The sequence below is a fragment of the Homo sapiens genome, chromosome 5, assembly GCF_000001405.40.
Source record: "Homo sapiens chromosome 5, GRCh38.p14 Primary Assembly".
NCBI classification, from domain to species: Eukaryota; Metazoa; Chordata; class Mammalia; order Primates; family Hominidae; genus Homo; species Homo sapiens.
In genome coordinates, this window is record NC_000005.10 from 355,471 (window position 1) to 373,343 (window position 17,873).

Genomic DNA, 17,873 nt, shown 5'->3' on the forward strand with positions numbered 1-17,873 from the left:
AGCTGAAGACCTGTCACATCGGCTTCCTCCCACCGACACCGCACAGCCTCACCCTCTCGCTGGGAGGTTGGAGGAGAGGCCAGGTCATTTCCTCTCCGCACAGGTCCCACTGTGTCCAGCCAGGCCAGGGCTTGACGGCCTCAGAAAGTCTTCGATTCTGGTGTTTCCAGCAAGTTTGGACACCTGGCTCTTCTTAAACTGCCAGCGAGTGAGCTTCCCATCCTGCTGCCTGCCCCAAGCCGGGGCAATGGCACTGGATGGCCATCCTGTGCAGGGGCACCCTGCGTGCCTCCTGCTGCCCTGCTGGGAGGTGCCCACCTCTGCCGCAGCTGCAGTGACTCTCAGGGGCCACCGGCTTACGAGAGTGCTGCAGCTTTCAGGAATAAACTTCCTGATTTTTCTACCAAGGATTGTGAATTTTGTGATCCCCTTCAGGCTGTACATTTTAGAGGAAATTCTAAAAACTTTTCTGAAGTCATTTCCACGTATAATTAGAAACAAGTCAAGCTATAAAAGTTAGATCTTAAACTATGCCTCTTGACTTAGAGATGGGTAAGCTAATTTCATTACGGCTGCCATAAAAAGTTGCCTTTGGGAAGGACATGAACCAGGGTGATGATGGCCTGAGCATTTGCTTGTGATGTTTAATGTTAATGTGACTGTTAAGGTCGGGATTTTCCACTCTTGGTGATTTTACTATTCACACCAGGGGAAGTCAGGCACAAAATAAGAGGGAAGGAGGTGGTGAGGAGGAGACAGTCTGCTGCTGCCTTGAGAGAGCTCTCTGCCCTCCTGCTGCGGGGCATGGAGGGGAGCTGGGCCCCTTCTAGGCTGAACCCTGGTCACAGCCTGGGACGTGGGACCCTAACACTGACCAGGAAGGGTCCAGAAGCCCCGGCTCTGTTGCTGAAGCCCAGTTGTGGGTCAGGCCACCCTCCCAGAACTCCTTGGGGGTGCCTGTGTTTGCCAGGACCCCTGCAGTCAGCGACTGAGGAAGAGCGCCCGCGAGTGGAGGCCCTCAGTCACGGAGTCCACCCGGGCAGTCAGCGACTGAGGAAGAGCGCCCGGGAGTGGAGGCCCTCAGTCACGGAGTCCACCCGGGCAGTCAGCGACTGAGGAAGAGCGCCCGCGAGTGGAGGCCCTCAGACACGGAGTCCACCCGGGCAGTCAGCGACTGAGGAAGAGCGCCCGCGAGTGGAGGCCCTCAGTCACGGAGTCCACCCGGGCAGTCAGCGACTGAGGAAGAGCGCCCGGGAGTGGAGGCCCTCAGTCACGGAGTCCACCCGGGCAGTCAGCGACTGAGGAAGAGCGCCCGGGAGTGGAGGCCCTCAGTCACGGAGTCCACCCGGGCAGTCAGCGACTGAGGAAGAGCGCCCGGGAGTGGAGGCCCTCAGTCACGGAGTCCACCCGGGCAGTCAGCGACTGAGGAAGAGCGCCCGCGAGTGGAGGCCCTCAGTCACGGAGTCCACCCGGGCAGTCAGCGACTGAGGAAGAGCGCCCGGGAGTGGAGGCCCTCAGTCACGGAGTCCACCCGGGCAGTCAGCGACTGAGGAAGAGCGCCCGCGAGTGGAGGCCCTCAGTCACGGAGTCCACCCGGGCAGTCAGCGACTGAGGAAGAGCGCCCGGGAGTGGAGGCCCTCAGTCACGGAGTCCACCCGGGCAGTCAGCGACTGAGGAAGAGCGCCCGCGAGTGGAGGCCCTCAGTCACGGAGTCCACCCGGGCAGTCAGCGACTGAGGAAGAGCGCCCGGGAGTGGAGGCCCTCAGTCACGGAGTCCACCCGGGCAGTCAGCGACTGAGGAAGAGCGCCCGCGAGTGGAGGCCCTCAGTCACGGAGTCCACCCGGGCAGTCAGCGACTGAGGAAGAGCGCCCGCGAGTGGAGGCCCTCAGTCACGGAGTCCACCCGGGCAGTCAGCGACTGAGGAAGAGCGCCCGCGAGTGGAGGCCCTCAGTCACGGAGTCCACCCGGGCAGTCAGCGACTGAGGAAGAGCGCCCGGGAGTGGAGGCCCTCAGTCACGGAGTCCACCCGGGCAGTCAGCGACTGGGGAAGAGCGCCCGCGAGTGGAGGCCCTCAGACACGGAGTCCACCCGGGCAGTCAGCGACTGGGGAAGAGCGCCCGGGAGTGGAGGCCCTCAGTCACGGAGTCCACCCGGGCAGTCAGCGACTGAGGAAGAGCGCCCGCGAGTGGAGGCCCTCAGTCACGGAGTCCACCCGGGCAGTCAGCGACTGGGGAAGAGCGCCCGCGAGTGGAGGCCCTCAGTCACGGAGTCCACCCGGGCAGTCAGCGACTGAGGAAGAGCGCCCGCGAGTGGAGGCCGTCAGTCACGGAGTCCACCCGGGCAGTCAGCGACTGAGGAAGAGCGCCCGCGAGTGGAGGCCCTCAGTCACGGAGTCCACCCGGGCAGTCAGCGACTGAGGAAGAGCGCCCGGGAGTGGAGGCCCTCAGTCACGGAGTCCACCCGGGCAGTCAGCGACTGGGGAAGAGCGCCCGCGAGTGGAGGCCCTCAGACACGGAGTCCACCCGGGCAGTCAGCGACTGGGGAAGAGCGCCCGGGAGTGGAGGCCCTCAGTCACGGAGTCCACCCGGGCAGTCAGCGACTGAGGAAGAGCGCCCGCGAGTGGAGGCCCTCAGTCACGGAGTCCACCCGGGCAGTCAGCGACTGGGGAAGAGCGCCCGCGAGTGGAGGCCCTCAGTCACGGAGTCCACCCGGGCAGTCAGCGACTGAGGAAGAGCGCCCGCGAGTGGAGGCCGTCAGTCACGGAGTCCACCCGGGCAGTCAGCGACTGAGGAAGAGCGCCCGCGAGTGGAGGCCCTCAGTCACGGAGTCCACCCGGGCAGTCAGCGACTGAGGAAGAGCGCCCGGGAGTGGAGGCCCTCAGTCACGGAGTCCACCCGGGCAGTCAGCGACTGGGGAAGAGCGCCCGCGAGTGGAGGCCCTCAGACACGGAGTCCACCCGGGCAGTCAGCGACTGGGGAAGAGCGCCCGGGAGTGGAGGCCCTCAGTCACGGAGTCCACCCGGGCAGTCAGCGACTGAGGAAGAGCGCCCGCGAGTGGAGGCCCTCAGTCACGGAGTCCACCCGGGCAGTCAGCGACTGAGGAAGAGCGCCCGGGAGTGGAGGCCGTCAGTCACGGAGTCCACCCGGGCAGTCAGCGACTGAGGAAGAGCGCCCGCAAGTGGAGGCCCTCAGTCACGGAGTCCACCCGGGCAGTCAGCGACTGAGGAAGAGCGCCCGCGAGTGGAGGCCCTCAGTCACGGAGTCCACCCGGGCAGTCAGCGACTGAGGAAGAGCGCCCGCGAGTGGAGGCCCTCAGTCACGGAGTCCACCCGGGCAGTCAGCGACTGGGGAAGAGCGCCCGGGAGTGGAGGCCCTCAGTCACGGAGTCCACCCGGGCAGTCAGCGACTGGGGAAGAGCGCCCGGGAGTGGAGGCCCTCAGTCACGGAGTCCACCCGGGCAGTCAGCGACTGGGGAAGAGCGCCCGCGAGTGGAGGCCCTCAGTCACGGAGTCCACCCGGGCAGTCAGCGACTGAGGAAGAGCGCCCGCGAGTGGAGGCCGTCAGTCACGGAGTCCACCCGGGCAGTCAGCGACTGAGGAAGAGCGCCCGCGAGTGGAGGCCCTCAGTCACGGAGTCCACCCGGGCAGTCAGCGACTGAGGAAGAGCGCCCGCGAGTGGAGGCCCTCAGTCACGGAGTCCACCCGGGCAGTCAGCGACTGAGGAAGAGCGCCCGGGAGTGGAGGCCCTCAGTCACGGAGTCCACCCGGGCAGTCAGCGACTGAGGAAGAGCGCCCGCGAGTGGAGGCCCTCAGTCACGGAGTCCACCCGGGCAGTCAGCGACTGGGGAAGAGCGCCCGCGAGGGGAGGCCCTCAGTCACGGAGTCCACCCGGGCAGTCAGCGACTGAGGAAGAGCGCCCGCGAGTGGAGGCCGTCAGTCACGGAGTCCACCCAGGCCTGGCATGTGGCTGTGTCCACCTCTATGCGTAGGGCCGGAGTGCTGACGGGGCACAGAGGTGTGTGTTCTTGTTGCTGTGTAGAGAAGTGTGGAGTAGATTAGTACCAAAAACAAAGTAGGGAGGAGAGAAGGTGGCACAGCCTCACTCTGAAAGCCTGGGGATTTTCCTGTCAGGATGATGCTGCTCCCTGCTCCCTTCACTCATCACCCGCAGCAGCATCGGAGTCCTCTTGTTCCTTTGCATCCACCGTGCTCCACTGTGGGGCCTGAACACACACCTGTGTCCATCCTGGAGCCCCTCCTGGGGTCAGTCCTGGCTCTGAAGCCCACCCGGGCTGAACGGGCACATCCGCTTCACCCCACCCTAGGTGGGCAAGAACAGAGGCCCCACAGCGCCACGAGGTGTCCTGGGTTCTTGAACTCTGGAATCCCACACTTGCTAGCAGGTCAAAAGTTCCATGCTCCTTGAGATTACGAGTGATTGTGTAAACCCAGGCCTGAAGTTATACTTTATTAAGGTAAATCATGCTGATTTTCAGCTTTCACTGAAGATTTACCTTTTCCTTGATGATCTTTTTATGGACTGGATGTTTGTCTCATCCCTTCACCTATTCATATAGTGAAACCCTAATTCCCAGTGTGGCCGTATTTGTAGGTGGGTCCGCTTAGGAAGAAATTAAGGTTAAACAACTTCATAAGTGGGGGTGGGGGGTGGCCTGAACTGATAGGACCAGTGTCCTTAAAAAGGAGACCCAAAAGAACCCTCTGTCCCTCTCTGTGCTGAACACCCCCCAAAGAAAGGCTGTGAGAGAACACAGGGGGAAGGCAGCTGTCTGCAGGCTGGAAAGAGAGCCCTCACCAGAGCCAAATCAGCTGCACCCTGATGACGGGCTTTTAGCTCCAGAAATGTGGGAAAGCCCATTCCTGTTGTTTAAGCCCCCGGACGGGGGTGTTTATTATAAGCAGCCCAGGCAGAGAAGTGGGGTGCCCTGCACTACATGCCACATACCTAAGAATGTGGAAGTGACTTGCAGCTGGCTGGTGGGTGGAGGCTGGACGAGTTTTGAGGTGTGTGCTAGAAAGAGCCCTGATGGCTGTGAAGCAGTTGTTGGTAGAACTATGGGTGTTAAAGGTGTTGTTGGTGAGGGCTCAGAGAGGAGAGCATTGTAGGGAGAGCTGTGGTCGTAGAGAACACACGTACCCCATGAACAGAACACTGATAGAAATGTGAGCATTAAGGCAGATTCTGGTGAGGAATGTGCCCGTGGAACGCGAGGAAAGTGATTCTTGTTATAAAGTGGCAAGGACTTGGCTGGACTGAATTCTAGCATTTTGTGGAAAGTGGAACTTGCAAGTGATGAAATGGGGTGTTTTGCTGGTGAGATTTCTAAGCAAAGTGTTGAAACCCTTGCTTCTCCTTACTGCTTATAGTGAAACGTCAGAGGAGAGAGATACATGGAAGGAATTGCCAAAAGAAAAGGAACCAGAACTTGAAGGTTTGGAAAATTCTCAGCCTATCCACATTGCAAAAAATGAGAAGGTGGGCCGGGTACGGTGGCGCACACCTGTAATACCAGCACTTTGGGAGGCTGAGGCGGGTGATCACAAGGTCAGGAGTTCAAGACCAGCCTGGCCAAGATGGTGAAACCCCATCTCTACTAAAAATATAAAAATTAGCCAGGCATGGTGGTGGGCGTCTGTAATCACAGCTACTTGGGAGGCTGAGGCAGAGAATTGCTTGAACCCGAGGTTGCAGTGAGCCGAGATCTTGCCACTGCACTCCAGCCTGGGCGACAGAGCAAGACTCCATCTCAAGAAACAGAGAAAGTGTTCTGGACGGACTTGCACGTGGTGAAACAGCCATTGGATAGGGAGACTGGGTGTGAGCCAGGAGCCCAGCCGGGAAGCCTCCTCAGCAGAGGCCAGGAGTGGGATGGCACCACGCCCGCAGAGACACTATCAGCTTGGCCTAAGGAGAACAGGACGGGAGGTAGTGCTTGCCAGTGGCTGGCATGTTTCATCTTTCCAGAAAGGGGAGAGTGTGCCTGGGGGTGATTCAGAGGTAACCAGGTGCCACTTCCACCACAGGCACAGGGCAGGGCTGTCTCTTCCTGGATTTCGGAGAGTGGGGCCACTGCAGAGCTGGGAAAGAGGCCGGGCCTCTGGGCAGAGCATGGAGTCAAAGAGGATTGTCCTGAGGCCTCCAGGTCTCAGGCGCTTTGCCTTGCTAGACGTGTGACTTGCTTGGGACCCGTCTCCCCTCTCTTCCTACTGGGTCCTGCCTTTTGCAATGGGGAGTTCCATCCCATGCCTGTTCACTGTTGTATTTTAGAAGGACGTGGCTTGTCTGGTCTCACAGGTTCTTGGCTGGAGAGCAGGTCTGCTTTAGGAGAAATTGTACCTTGAGTCTTACCCATTTCTGATTTAGATGGTAGTTAAATGAAACTTTGGCTTAGACTTTAGAGTTGATGCTGGAATGGGTTAAGACGTTTGGGGCTGTTGGGATGGAGTTAATGTATTTTGCATGTGAGGACATAAATTTTGGAGGCAAGGATTGAATGTTATAAGCTGAATGTTTGTGTCCCCTAAAACTCATATGTTGAAGCCCTAGCCCCTAGTTTGGCTGTATTTGGAGAAGGGGCCTCTAAGGAAGTTAAGTTTAAGGTTAAATGCGGTCATAAGGGCAGAGCTCTGATCTGATGGGATTAGCACACGTATAAGGAGAGACATCGGAGGGCTCACTCTGTCCACAAGCACAGCAGGAAATTCATGTGAAGATGCAGTGAGAAGGTGGCTGTCCACAAGCCAAGAAGAGAGCCCTCACCAGAAACTGAATTTGGTGGCACCTTGATCATGGGCTTCCAGCTTCCAGAACTGCAAGAAAATAACTTTCTGTTGTTTAAATCATTTTGTTACAGCAGCCCTAGAGGCTAAGGCAAGCCCCCATGGCAGGGCCGCAGGTCTGGGACTCGATTTTTCTCATCCTGCGGTGGGCATGGGCACATGTGGGTCGAGTGCCTTCCAGCTCTCCAGGCTGTGCTCCAACCCTTTCCCTCACCCCCTTCCTCTCTGTCACTGGTGCCTTCTGGAAGATGGCTTCCCCTTGGGGAGCATTTCCTGCAAAGACTCACAAGTTTAAAATAATTTAGGATATTTCTCTGTACTTGAGAGCCAGGATAGGATGAGAGTTGGTCCTGCCCTGATGCTGTAAGGCCACTCCTGTCTCAGACCCTGAGGTCCTCAGGAATGGTTTCCCAAGTACTGTTGTAGTTGTATGGCAAGATCACTCTTGATTATTTTAGGAGCTGATTTTACTTTTCCTACCTCTTTTAACTGCTTCCAAAAGATGAATCTGGCCAAGAAGAGCAGGGGCTCATTCACTCATTTACTCACTCATTCCTGGTGCTTGAGTTTATTCCTGAAGGAAGCTGACCAAGGGTTGAGAGAAAACAACTTTGATTTTTCTCATGTCTGCCCCAGCAAACCTCCTTTGTGGACTGATTCTCCTTCTGTGCCTGGAAGAAACTGGGATAATCCCAGGACTTTTCTGGTCCCTTCTAGGTAATTCAGTGTCTTCCACTAATGTGGCCCCACACAGGCTGGGCTTGTTGATTAGTATAGGTCCAGCAAAACAGTTAAAACTCTACATGTCTTCCGCATGTGAACCTCTTCCCAACCTCACCTGGTGCTGTGGCAGGTGGGAGGCTGGGTGTCAGGCTGGCTGCTGCCCCCTGGGTTCTGCCCAGCTGGTAGCTATGGCTTCCAACCCTCCAGTGGGAGGAACAAGAGGGATAAGAGGTAAGGACAGGAGAGGTTCTGTATGGCTGGCATGGCAGAGAGCTGGCACATGAGGCTGGCAGGAAATCCAGAGGGCTCTGGGGGCATTCTCATGGTCTCCTAAGTGACCACACTACCCTGGGGTGTCTCTGCCACAACTGGCCAACTCAGGAGGTGTATCCTCTCCAGCTGGTCCCTTACACTCACTTCCTTAGCCCTAGGTGGCCGTGGTACCTCTAGCCTCTTGCCAAGGTCTGCCCTCACATCTCCAGGAACCCTTCTGGGCAGGATTTAAGACATCCCAGGCCAGTGTTCAGGCACTATGACCCCACCTGGTCCACAGGAAATGTGCACCTTTGATCCACTGGGTTAGGGTTATTTCCACATGCAGCCTAGTTGCCTACTGGGAGCTCCAGGAGTCAACTTTTGCCCTTTAGATTTCTTGAGTGTAAGAGGGATACCAGGTCTCTGCCCACCACCAGCCTCAGAAGGCACACAGTAGGCACTTGCAGGCCTCGTGAAACCCCTCTTGGAATGAAGTAAGGAGAAAGCTGCCCATCCCTCTCATGGTACAGGTTGGGTGGGGACAGACTGAGAGCACTGCCCCCCTCTCCCAAGGAAGCCCTCCTGTCAAACTTGAGCTTCTCTCATCTTCAACACCTCCTCTACCTAGATCACCCAGAATTTCACATGGGAACAATTGGCACTTCTTGTCTTGGGGCCTCAGCTAAAATTCAGACTGGAAAAGCTCCATATTAACATCCTGTTCTAATGCAAGTAAAAAAAGAGCTGCTATGGTCTTTGCTTCTTGGTATTTAGAGTCTAGTGGGAGAATATTGGCTACTTAATGCAGTCTCTTCCATTTTCAATATGTAACTGAGGCATCCTTCTACTGATAACAGCCAAAACTTCAAGAAAAAATATTTTAAGCCTTTAAAAATACATTTGTGGGCTGGTAGGAAATTAAGGAATAATCAGAGACCAAAAACTAAGTGAAGCTGAGAACCCAGAGATAACTTTATTAAAGGAGAATATTAAACATATACTTCACGCAGAAGGAAGAGAATTCCAGGTGGAAGATTTGAGATGCAAGGGGGAATGAAAAACAAGAAGGTGGTGACTATATGGGTAAATCAAATCAAATCAAACACCTTGTGTAAAATAATAATGGTGATATAAGAATTTTAAAAAGAGAAATAAGTATATAGTCATAATATGATACAAATTTGAAGAGGGTGATGAGTTAAAAAGTTCTAAGATTCTTGTGTTAACTTTGGAGGATGGTTATCTAATTTGTAATAAAATTTTCAGGATAATCATCAACCGTAGAAATGGGGTTGAAATTTCAAACTAATGGAAAGAAAAAAGAATGAGAAAATATAATCAATCAAAAGGAAAAGACTAGAAAGGGAAAGGAAAAAAGAAACACAAAAGAGGTGGAACAAAAGTCCAAATATATCAGTAACTACAATAAACATAAATGGAATAAACATAACAACTAAAAGATAAAGATTATTAAAGTGGATTACTATATGCTGTTTACAGAAAACACATCTACACTCTAAGGGTACAGAAAGGATGAAAGTAAAAGGATGGGAAAGGGTATACTGGGGAAATATAACTGAAGGAAATATGATGAATCTATATTAATGTAAAAAAATTGATTTTGGGGTAAAAAGCATCACTGGAGATAGAGAGAATCACTATGTAATGATTAAACAATTCATTTCATCAAGCAGATAATATAATTTTGAATTTTATTCTTTCCATAACATAATTTCAAAATCTGTAAAGCAAATATTGACAGAACTATAAGGAAGAATATATAAATTCATCATCAGAGAGAAATATTTTAAATACTGTAACTCAGTATTTTATAGAAGAAGTAAATAAAAGCCAGTAAAGGTTATAGAACATTTGAACAATGCAAAGAAAAAAAAAAGGTTAATTTAGTGGACATACATAAAGCAGTATACCCCCAAACTACAGAATTCACGTATTTTCAAAGCCCGCATGGAACTGGTAAATATATGGAAAACTTACTGGCCAATAAAGCAAGTCTCAGTAAATTTCAAAAGATAAAATATTGAAGAATAATGAGGTGGGACCTCAATGCAAATAAACTAGAAATCGATAATAACAAGATAACTTGAAAACCCGTATAGTTGGAAATAAATAAACACACTTGTATATAACGCATAGGTCAAAGAAGAAAAGAAGATGTAATTTAGAAATATTTAAAATGTGTGGGATGTAGCCAAAGAAACACTTAGAAATAAATAATCTTAAGTGTTTATGTATAAAAGAAGGCTAAATATTAATGAGCTAAGCATTTAATTAAGTAGTTCTGATAAAGAACAGTAAAATAAGAGAGTCAAAGAAAATAATAGAAGATATTGATGAAATAGAAAAGAAACATACAACAGAGTTCTTTTAAAATGATAAACTTTACAAAGATCTGGTGAAACTGATCAAGGAGAAAAGAATAAGCAGTATTAGGAATATAAAGAGGAGCTATTATGAACAAATTAATGCCAATAAATTTGAAGTTTGAAAACATAAATGAAAAAATTCCTAGAAAATATAACTTATTAAAACTGACTCAAGAAGAAATAGAAAACCTGAATGTCGTAGGACCATTAAAGAAATTGATTTGTTTAACATCTTCACACAGAGAAAATCTAGGCTCAGATAGCTTCAAAGCAATTTCTACCAAATAGTAAAGAAAAAAATAATTCCATTATATTGAATCCTGGGATGTTGAATTGGAATTGGAGGTATTGGTGTGAGCTCATGGTTTTCAATATATAAAGAGAGACATGAATATGTACGTAAAATGTGTGTACACTCACCTTCCCCCCCCACCCCCTGCCCCACACACACACTGTCCACTGAGAGAGCCTCGGAACAGTGACACCCTAGCAGCAGCAATCACACCTAACATTCAGATGTTGGTTTCTAAATGCTTCCTGCCATTAAAAGGACTAGGGCTTTTGGGGCTCTTTCAAGAGCTGGAGCAGACAAAGTACAAGGTACTTTGTACTTACCTCATGCCAGAAAGCAAGGCAGTGGTCACCAGGGATGAAGACGTGTCACAGGACACAGAAGCCGTCTTGAAGGGGCTCCCGCTGGCCAAGTCTGGGACAATTTCAGCATTAAAATGAATAATGATAGTAATGGGCTATACCCCAGTGAATAAAATATGATTTTATAGGGTCACATTTATATAAATGAATGAATAAGTAAATAAGTTTTTCCTCACAACAGGCTAATTAATGGCTATAAGAAGAGAGATGACTATAGAAAGAAAAGGTGAATTACAAATCAAATTTGGTAACCACTACAGTCATAATTCAGGCAAGAAATATCAATTGGTGCTAAAATTGGTGGTGAAAATGGGATGAGACAGGATTTTTGTAGTCTTGAACAAAATATCTATTAATTATGAAGCCGAAAAGCCCAGCATTCACTGTCCTAAGTGATCGATCTTACCCGCCAATAGTGGAATAAGCCGGCATTGTGCACCCCGCAACAGGATGAGTGGGTGGAGCACAGCATTGCTTTGCTGATACTCGGCTGGAGGTGCATAACTTCGGTCTAATCACGAGGAAACACCAGACAGACCCAAATTGAAGGGCAGTCTGCAAAATAACTCACCTGTAATCTCCAAAAAACCCAGCAGGCCATGAAAGCCAAGGAGTTACTGGAAGGGATGGAGAGGTGGCAGGGACTAAGGCAGTGTGGCGATGGCTGCTGCCGCAGTCCAGCACCACCTTGGCTGAAAGGATGTTATTGGGACACTGGTGAAACTCAGTGGCATCTGTGGACAAGGGGTATCTGGGTGCTTTATATGATTCTTATAGCTTTTCTGTAAGTTTGATATCATCTCAAAGCATAAGCAGGAGGAACAAGGAAAACTAAAATGGAGAAGTTGCAGGGTGTTTATATGAGCTCTAAAGTGAGTCCCTGGGGGGTCGCCGCAGATCCCCAGCTGCTCCCACCCTGGAGGAGCTGGGGGGAAGAGCAAGTGCCCAGGGAGGCAGGGGGAGAACGGGAGTTCGTGGGCACGTGGTGGGCCCTCAGCGTAGCCAGATGTGGGACAGCATCGTGTGCATTTGTATGTTTGTGAGGCAAGTCACGTCTTTTAGGAGCACTTGTCATTTTGGGCAGCTGGGCCTTTTGCAAAGAGAAATATAAGAATAACCAACACCTTCCTCACCGCCCATCATGACCACCCTGCCCCACAGACACGGGTCTGAGCTGCAGTGCGTGGTCAAGGGCACAGAGGAGTGGGCAGCGGTGGCCGTGGGGACCGGATGAGCCAGCCTGGTGGGGCCTGAATATGGCAGCGCCAGGCAGTGATGCCACGTGGGCCTTGCTGGGGGCGGCATCCGAGGCTCAGCACACCTGTAGCTTTTGAAGGCCATGCCCTCCTGCTGGGTCTCTTGTCTTCACCCCTCAGGAGGCCTTCCCCAGCCTCACTTTTAACATCACAGCCTCTGCCCCTCTGCCCTGACACCACCCCCTCTGCTGCTCGTTCTCTCCTAGTGCTTAACTCGTGTGTTGCTGGGTTCTGTCCCCCTCCTTCTCTGTTGTATGCCCAGGACAGGGGTTGGCAGTGGCAGATGCCGAAGATGTGGATGACCACACGGGCGAACGAAGGCCCATGTCGTTCAGGAGGCCCCGAGCATTGGACACCCAGGCCCTGAGACGTACTCAGTTCGGTCTGCATCTGTTGATGGTGAATATTGCAGGACTGATAGCCACTGACCGCCTGTAGTGATGTGTGAGGACAATGAAGGCAATGGTGATTCACAGGCAGGCCAGCCCCATATGGGTGTTAGTTGTAAATTCATGGTTACATAACATAATAAATTTACCTACGAATTCATTATTTATAAACAAATGGAGACTCTGACAGCTGAGCTGGCACTCCTCGTTGATGTGAAAGTTGACAAGCGAGGCAGCATCCATACCTGTGGGTAGAGGGCAGAGGACTCAGTGAGGGCTCGGTGCCCTCTTCCGCAGTAGGAGAGGCCAGTGGGGCTGCTCAGGAAGACTCCCTGGGCGTGCACCGCGCACTGTATCCTGCCTGAGGGTGTGGGCCAGGGCGCTCCCTGGCTGTGGCCGCGTGGGGTTAGTGGCCTGCAGTGTTGACCGCTCACTCATCTGTACACCTGTGCACCGCACGCTGATTCACTGAATATTTGGTTGTTAAACAGCACCAGCACAGTGTTTTGGGTTTTGTTTTACAAAATGTTTCTTGAACCCTTGGCTTGTCCCTGCTGTGCTTTTCTTTGATACGTTGAAATGTAACAAGAATGCCCAAATAGTTTGCTTATACCAGATGTTTCACATCATGAAGAGAATATGGATTTGCAATGTGTGCAAGTATTCTTTTTTTCCCCAAAGAGCTATTTTTGGTTGCATCTTCCACGATAACGTGGGGTTCCAAGGCCAGGGTGTGTTTCCTCTGCAGGACGAGCGTGTGACTCTGGTGACCGCAGAGCCCCCCTGAGGCCCCCGGGTTCTGTGATCTCAGAAAGTGGTTAGAGGCGCATTCTCTTGACCAGAGAAACGCGTGGGCACTGCCAGCTGCAGCCACCCCAGTCTTCGCTGGCTCAGAGGAAGTGCATTTCTTTGCGGTTCATTTTGCACTGTGAGGAAGTGTGAAATCTCTGAAGCTCTCTGGTGCTTTTTGAAAAATCGGGAAATTCTTGCCATAGGAAATTCAGCAACTTGATGCAGTATGTGTCTTGGGGTGCCCCCCGTTTTGTAAATATCGTGTCTGTGAAATGAGTGTGTTTATTTATACTCCTGATGCTTTTTCTAGCTTAGGGGAATTTGGGACTTTGAAGGACATTTTTAAACCCCTCTGCCCCACAAGCTGTAACTAAGGGTTTTGGAAGCACACTCGCCCATCCAGCACCCACTTGCTGGGACCCCCTTCTGACTTGCTGCTTCTCTTTGCCCTCAGTGAGCACCTCGAATGCATTCCCTCACACTCTGTTAATACACCCGCCCATGTGTCAAGAGCAGCACGGCACAGTCATCCGCTTCTCACACTTCCTCACACCCTCCCTCTTCCTGGGCATTCTGTCTTAACCCCCTAACCTGGTACCAGCTGTTTTCTGGGACACCTGAGGGCTCTCCGGGCACAGTCCTGGTCCCCTCCTGCCCACAGCCTGAAGGGGCAGCTTTGTCCCACAGGGTGGACTTGCCTGCTTTGCAAGGCTGAGGCACATGCTCCTTGCAGATGAACAGACCTACAGCTAGGCGAGCATGCAGCACAGCCCGACTCAGGAGCTGAGGCCTCCCGCTGCACGAGCCCGGGCTCCCTCTGTGTCACTTGCTTCGCTCTGAGTCTTTGTCACCTGCCTGAATGCTCCTGATGCCTCCTAGGCCACTGGGGAGAGCTGTGCTTGTCCCACGCTCTGGCACAGAGTGTCTGTCCCGAGTGCTTCCTCTAAACCTTTCCTGTGCAGAAGCTGGGACAAATTCTGTGCATCCTGGTGCAGAACACACCTGTTCAGAAAGTAACTGGGTGGTGAGAAGTTTCCTTTGCAAATACCATTTGTGGCCATCAAGAATCACTAAATGACATTTTCTTCCGGAATGTACATATTACAATTCATCTTCAAAAGGCAAAACGGTTTCTCATCCAGTTCTTGAGAAGGGAAGGAAGGGAGAGTTTGAATGTTCGAAAGCCTTGAGGCTCTGGTCCCCTCATTTGACGTAAAACTTGCAAAGGCATTTGTAGGAATGGTTGGGGTGTGAGAGCAGGGGTCAGAGGTGCCCTCCTGGGAATGTCTTGGCTCTGAGAGCACTGCCCTGCCCTCCCGGGCTCTTGCTGGTGCCCCATCCTCCCGGGCCCTCGCTGGAAGCCCCGTCCTCCCGGGCCCTCGCTGGAAGCCCCGTCCTCCCGGGCCCTCGCTGGTGCCCCGTCCTCCCGGGCCCTCGCTGGAAGCCCCGTCCTCCCGGGCCCTCGCTGGTGCCCCGTCCTCCCGGGCCCTCGCTGGAAGCCCCGTCCTCCCGGGCCCTCGCTGGTGCCCCGACCTCCTGGGCCCTCGCTGGAAGCTCTGCTCATTTACTCCCCGTGTTACGGTTGTGCAGCATTTCCTGGATCCACAGTCAGGTCAGGCAATTCTGGGGCGAGCAGGCGTCGGGGAAGGGTTGGATGGGCGTCCCAGGCTTCTCAGAGCATCCCATCCAACTCCTGGACGGGAGAGGTGTCGTAAGGGTCCCTCAGGAGGGAGCTTGAGCTGGAAGCAGGGGTGAGTGAAATCAGGTTCAAGGGAAATTTTCACCAAGGTCATCCGCCACCCCCAGGACCCTGAGAGTCTCACAGTGGGTGCAGCCCCAGGCAGGTGGTGGTCCATAGGGGACAGCCCCCAGGAAGATGCAGGTGACAGGGGTGGGGTGGACAGCCCATGGGAAGGTGTGGGTGATGGGGGGACAGTCCATGGGAAGGCACAGGTGATGGGGTTGGGGACAGGTCTCGGGAAGGCACAGGTGACAGTGTGGGGTGGAGGGGGGCAGCCCATGGGAAGGTGCAGGTGTTGGTGGGGGGAGGGGGGCACGTTCCCATCATGCTTGTCCGACCTCCCTGGGTGGCTGGAGGAGGAAGTGATCCAGAGGAGGCCTGCCTTGGAGGCACCCAGAGCACAGAGGCTGGGCCTGGTGTGGAGCTCTCGGCCGACCTCGGGCCGGGCTTTACAGGGCATGTCAGTTAGGGCTCTGCAGAAAAACAGAACCGACCGGAGACAGATATGGGGAGGCTTATTATGAGCAGGTGTCTCAGACAGCTGCAAGCTGGAGACCCAGGAGAGCCGAGGTGTAGTTCAGTCCAAGCCCAGAGGCCTGAGGGCCAGGGGCGCTGGGGTAAATTCCCGCCTGTGGCCGGAGAATGGGAGATGAGCTGATCTGGCTCAAGCCATGAGTCAGGAAAAAGGGGTGACTCCTCCTGTCTAGTTCTCTCCAGCCCCCCATGGACTGCCCAGCCACACTGGGGAAGACCACTGGCTTCACCGAGCCCACGGATTCAAATGGGACCGCCATCTGGAAACACCTCCCAACACAGCAGGCACGATGTTTAATCGCAGCACCCAGTGCTGCAGGTGGTTGATGTGTGACATCGGTCAGCACACTAGGCCTGTGTCCTCATTAGTTCGAGGGCCGGCTGTGACTGCCAACAGTAGCTTCCCATCTGAGTCAGGATTTCAGCCCAGCCCTGCTCTAGGCTTTCTGAGTGAGTCTCTGGGGCTCTGAAGTGATGAGCTTGCAGGTGACAGGAATCCTGCGTCCCATTCCCTGGGCAGGTGCAGCAGGGGCTGGCAGGCTGCCTCATGCACGGGTAAGCCCCTGTGTGTCCCATAGTAGGACTGAGCATCTGGGCCCACCTGTCCTAGACCCACCTGTCCTGGGCCCACCTGTCCTGGGCTGACCAGTCCTGGACTCACAAGGTGGCTCTGACTGTCCTTCCAGGCCTGTGGAACCGACTCCCGTGGTCGCTGTTGAAGCCCTCTATGGTGAAATGCTCCCAGGAGCTGCAGACTGCCAGACAGCTTTACTTAGGATGATTCCCTAGAGGGAGTCCTAAACCGAGTCAGCTTGGGGGCCGCCTGCTCCTCTCTCCCTTACGCCCCTGTCTGTGGAGTTCTGTCCCTTCCAACGAGGATGCTTAGGGTCGATGTGCCTGTTAAGGGCTGAGTGAAAACGATGGAGAAGAAAGGGATCCTGGGCCTTCCTCTCATCTGGCTGCTTGCACCACTCAGGCCCCGCCGAGGGCTCTGCAGAGAGGCAGGCAGTCCTGCCAATAGGGACCTTCATGAAGCACCCACATTCCTTACCACCTTCTCCCCTCACAGGAAGGAAGCAGCAGGGTTTCTGCTGGTTGAGCTCCTCCTCCAGGCTTCCTGGATAGGAAGCAGTGGTGCTGCTCAGCACACAGCCCCTCAGTGCCTTCCCTCCTCCCCCAGGGCTGGGGTGGGCTGGCGGGGCCACCCCTGCTGATCCATCCCTTGGCTTCTGGGCCCAGCTCCCCTGACTGCACAGAGGGGACTGTGGAGCTGTGGGCTGGGGCCTCATGGAGGCATGTCCTCCTTCCCAGCCAAGGTGCTGGGATCCTGACTGTCACCTGCCCCAAATCCAGCCTGGGCCCTGTGCACCCTGGGATGGGTCACAGGAGGCCTGAGAACCAGGTCCAGGCTGCGGTTTGGGTGAAGGACAAAGGGACGTCCTCTTCTGCTCGCTTTGCCTGTTCTGCTTCTTCTGTTTCTTCATCTCGCCTTCTTTTCAGCTCCCCCTGGGCCCAGCTCCCTGTCCAGCACTGAAGACCTGAAATGGACCTTACTCAGCCCTGCACAGAGCAGGAAACTTCAGCCGCAGTCGCTGCACAGGGCTGGGGTGCGTGATCTCCAGTGGCAGGGGTGCGTGATCTCCAATGGCAGGGCTGACCTCCCACCCTCCGTCTGCACCGCCTCCCCCGCCCCTACCAGGGAATTGGCTTCAGGGGACTGGGAGCAATGTGGCTTCGTTTCTGGGCATCACGGCATCACCCAGACGCACAGCTGGACCTGCCTTCTGGCTCCTCCTCCACCAGGGACTGTGGGTCAGACCGAGTCACAGGCCCAGGTGCTCGTGGTGGGGGCCAGATGGGGTGGCCTTGGGTTCCCGGTGACACCTTGCTCTGAGTCTCCTCTGTGTGAAGAAACAGAGGGCCCTTAGCAGGACCCCATGGGAAGCCTGAGCCCCCAAGGGAGCCACTCTGCTCCAGCCCTTGCTGTGGGCACAGGGTCGCCCGAGGCCTTGGTGCTGACTTCACATTCTCGCTGTTCCAAATGAGCCCCTTCTTGGTTGCAGTGAACTCTGCAGCCGTGGGCGGACGGCTGGTAATGGCCCTGAGACTCTCCAAGGTGGCTGAGGTTCTGCGCGGTTGGCAGAGTGCTGGCAGGACACAGGGGTTGCCCAGGCTACAGATCCGGGTTCAGGCCCAGCCGTGGGGACTGTTCACCTCTGAGAGGGCAGCCCTGCCCCGCGGCCCTGGCCCTGCCCTGCACCCGGCTGGGTCTCATCTGACACGCAGCCTTCCAGCCTCTCATTGCCCGAGGGGTGGGCCCTGGGAGTGGTCCTGGCAGGGCC

At 54.0% G+C, this 17,873-nt stretch overlaps 1 protein-coding gene and 1 long non-coding RNA gene across 4 annotated transcripts in view, besides 5 other annotated features; both read left to right on the forward strand.

Annotated features, from left to right (window-relative positions):
• The window catches only part of PDCD6-AHRR (PDCD6-AHRR readthrough (NMD candidate)), a 166,640-nt gene that overhangs the window by 83,825 nt on the left and 64,942 nt on the right, over positions 1-17,873 (forward strand). The gene's annotated exons all lie outside the window — the stretch shown is intronic.
• Positions 1-17,873, forward strand: part of AHRR (aryl hydrocarbon receptor repressor) — a 116,572-nt gene that overhangs the window by 33,757 nt on the left and 64,942 nt on the right. The window lies entirely within an intron of this gene.
• Positions 13,058-13,167: an enhancer, noted in NCBI's record as "active region_22277". NCBI's record gives its function as "activates an Ori minimal core promoter by ATAC-STARR-seq in GM12878 lymphoblastoid cells {active_cell/tissue: GM12878}" and the evidence as "EXISTENCE:reporter gene assay evidence [ECO:0000049][PMID:35858748]".
• Positions 13,818-13,927: an enhancer, noted in NCBI's record as "active region_22278". NCBI's record gives its function as "activates an Ori minimal core promoter by ATAC-STARR-seq in GM12878 lymphoblastoid cells {active_cell/tissue: GM12878}" and the evidence as "EXISTENCE:reporter gene assay evidence [ECO:0000049][PMID:35858748]".
• Positions 15,374-15,513: an enhancer, noted in NCBI's record as "active region_22279". NCBI's record gives its function as "activates an Ori minimal core promoter by ATAC-STARR-seq in GM12878 lymphoblastoid cells {active_cell/tissue: GM12878}" and the evidence as "EXISTENCE:reporter gene assay evidence [ECO:0000049][PMID:35858748]".
• Positions 16,394-16,453: an enhancer, noted in NCBI's record as "active region_22280". NCBI's record gives its function as "activates an Ori minimal core promoter by ATAC-STARR-seq in GM12878 lymphoblastoid cells {active_cell/tissue: GM12878}" and the evidence as "EXISTENCE:reporter gene assay evidence [ECO:0000049][PMID:35858748]".
• Positions 17,241-17,871: an enhancer, noted in NCBI's record as "H3K27ac-H3K4me1 hESC enhancer chr5:372826-373456 (GRCh37/hg19 assembly coordinates)". NCBI's record gives its function as "activates a minimal SCP1, AML or CMV promoter by ChIP-STARR-seq in naive H9 embryonic stem cells {active_cell/tissue: H9 hESC(naive)}" and the evidence as "EXISTENCE:reporter gene assay evidence [ECO:0000049][PMID:30033119]".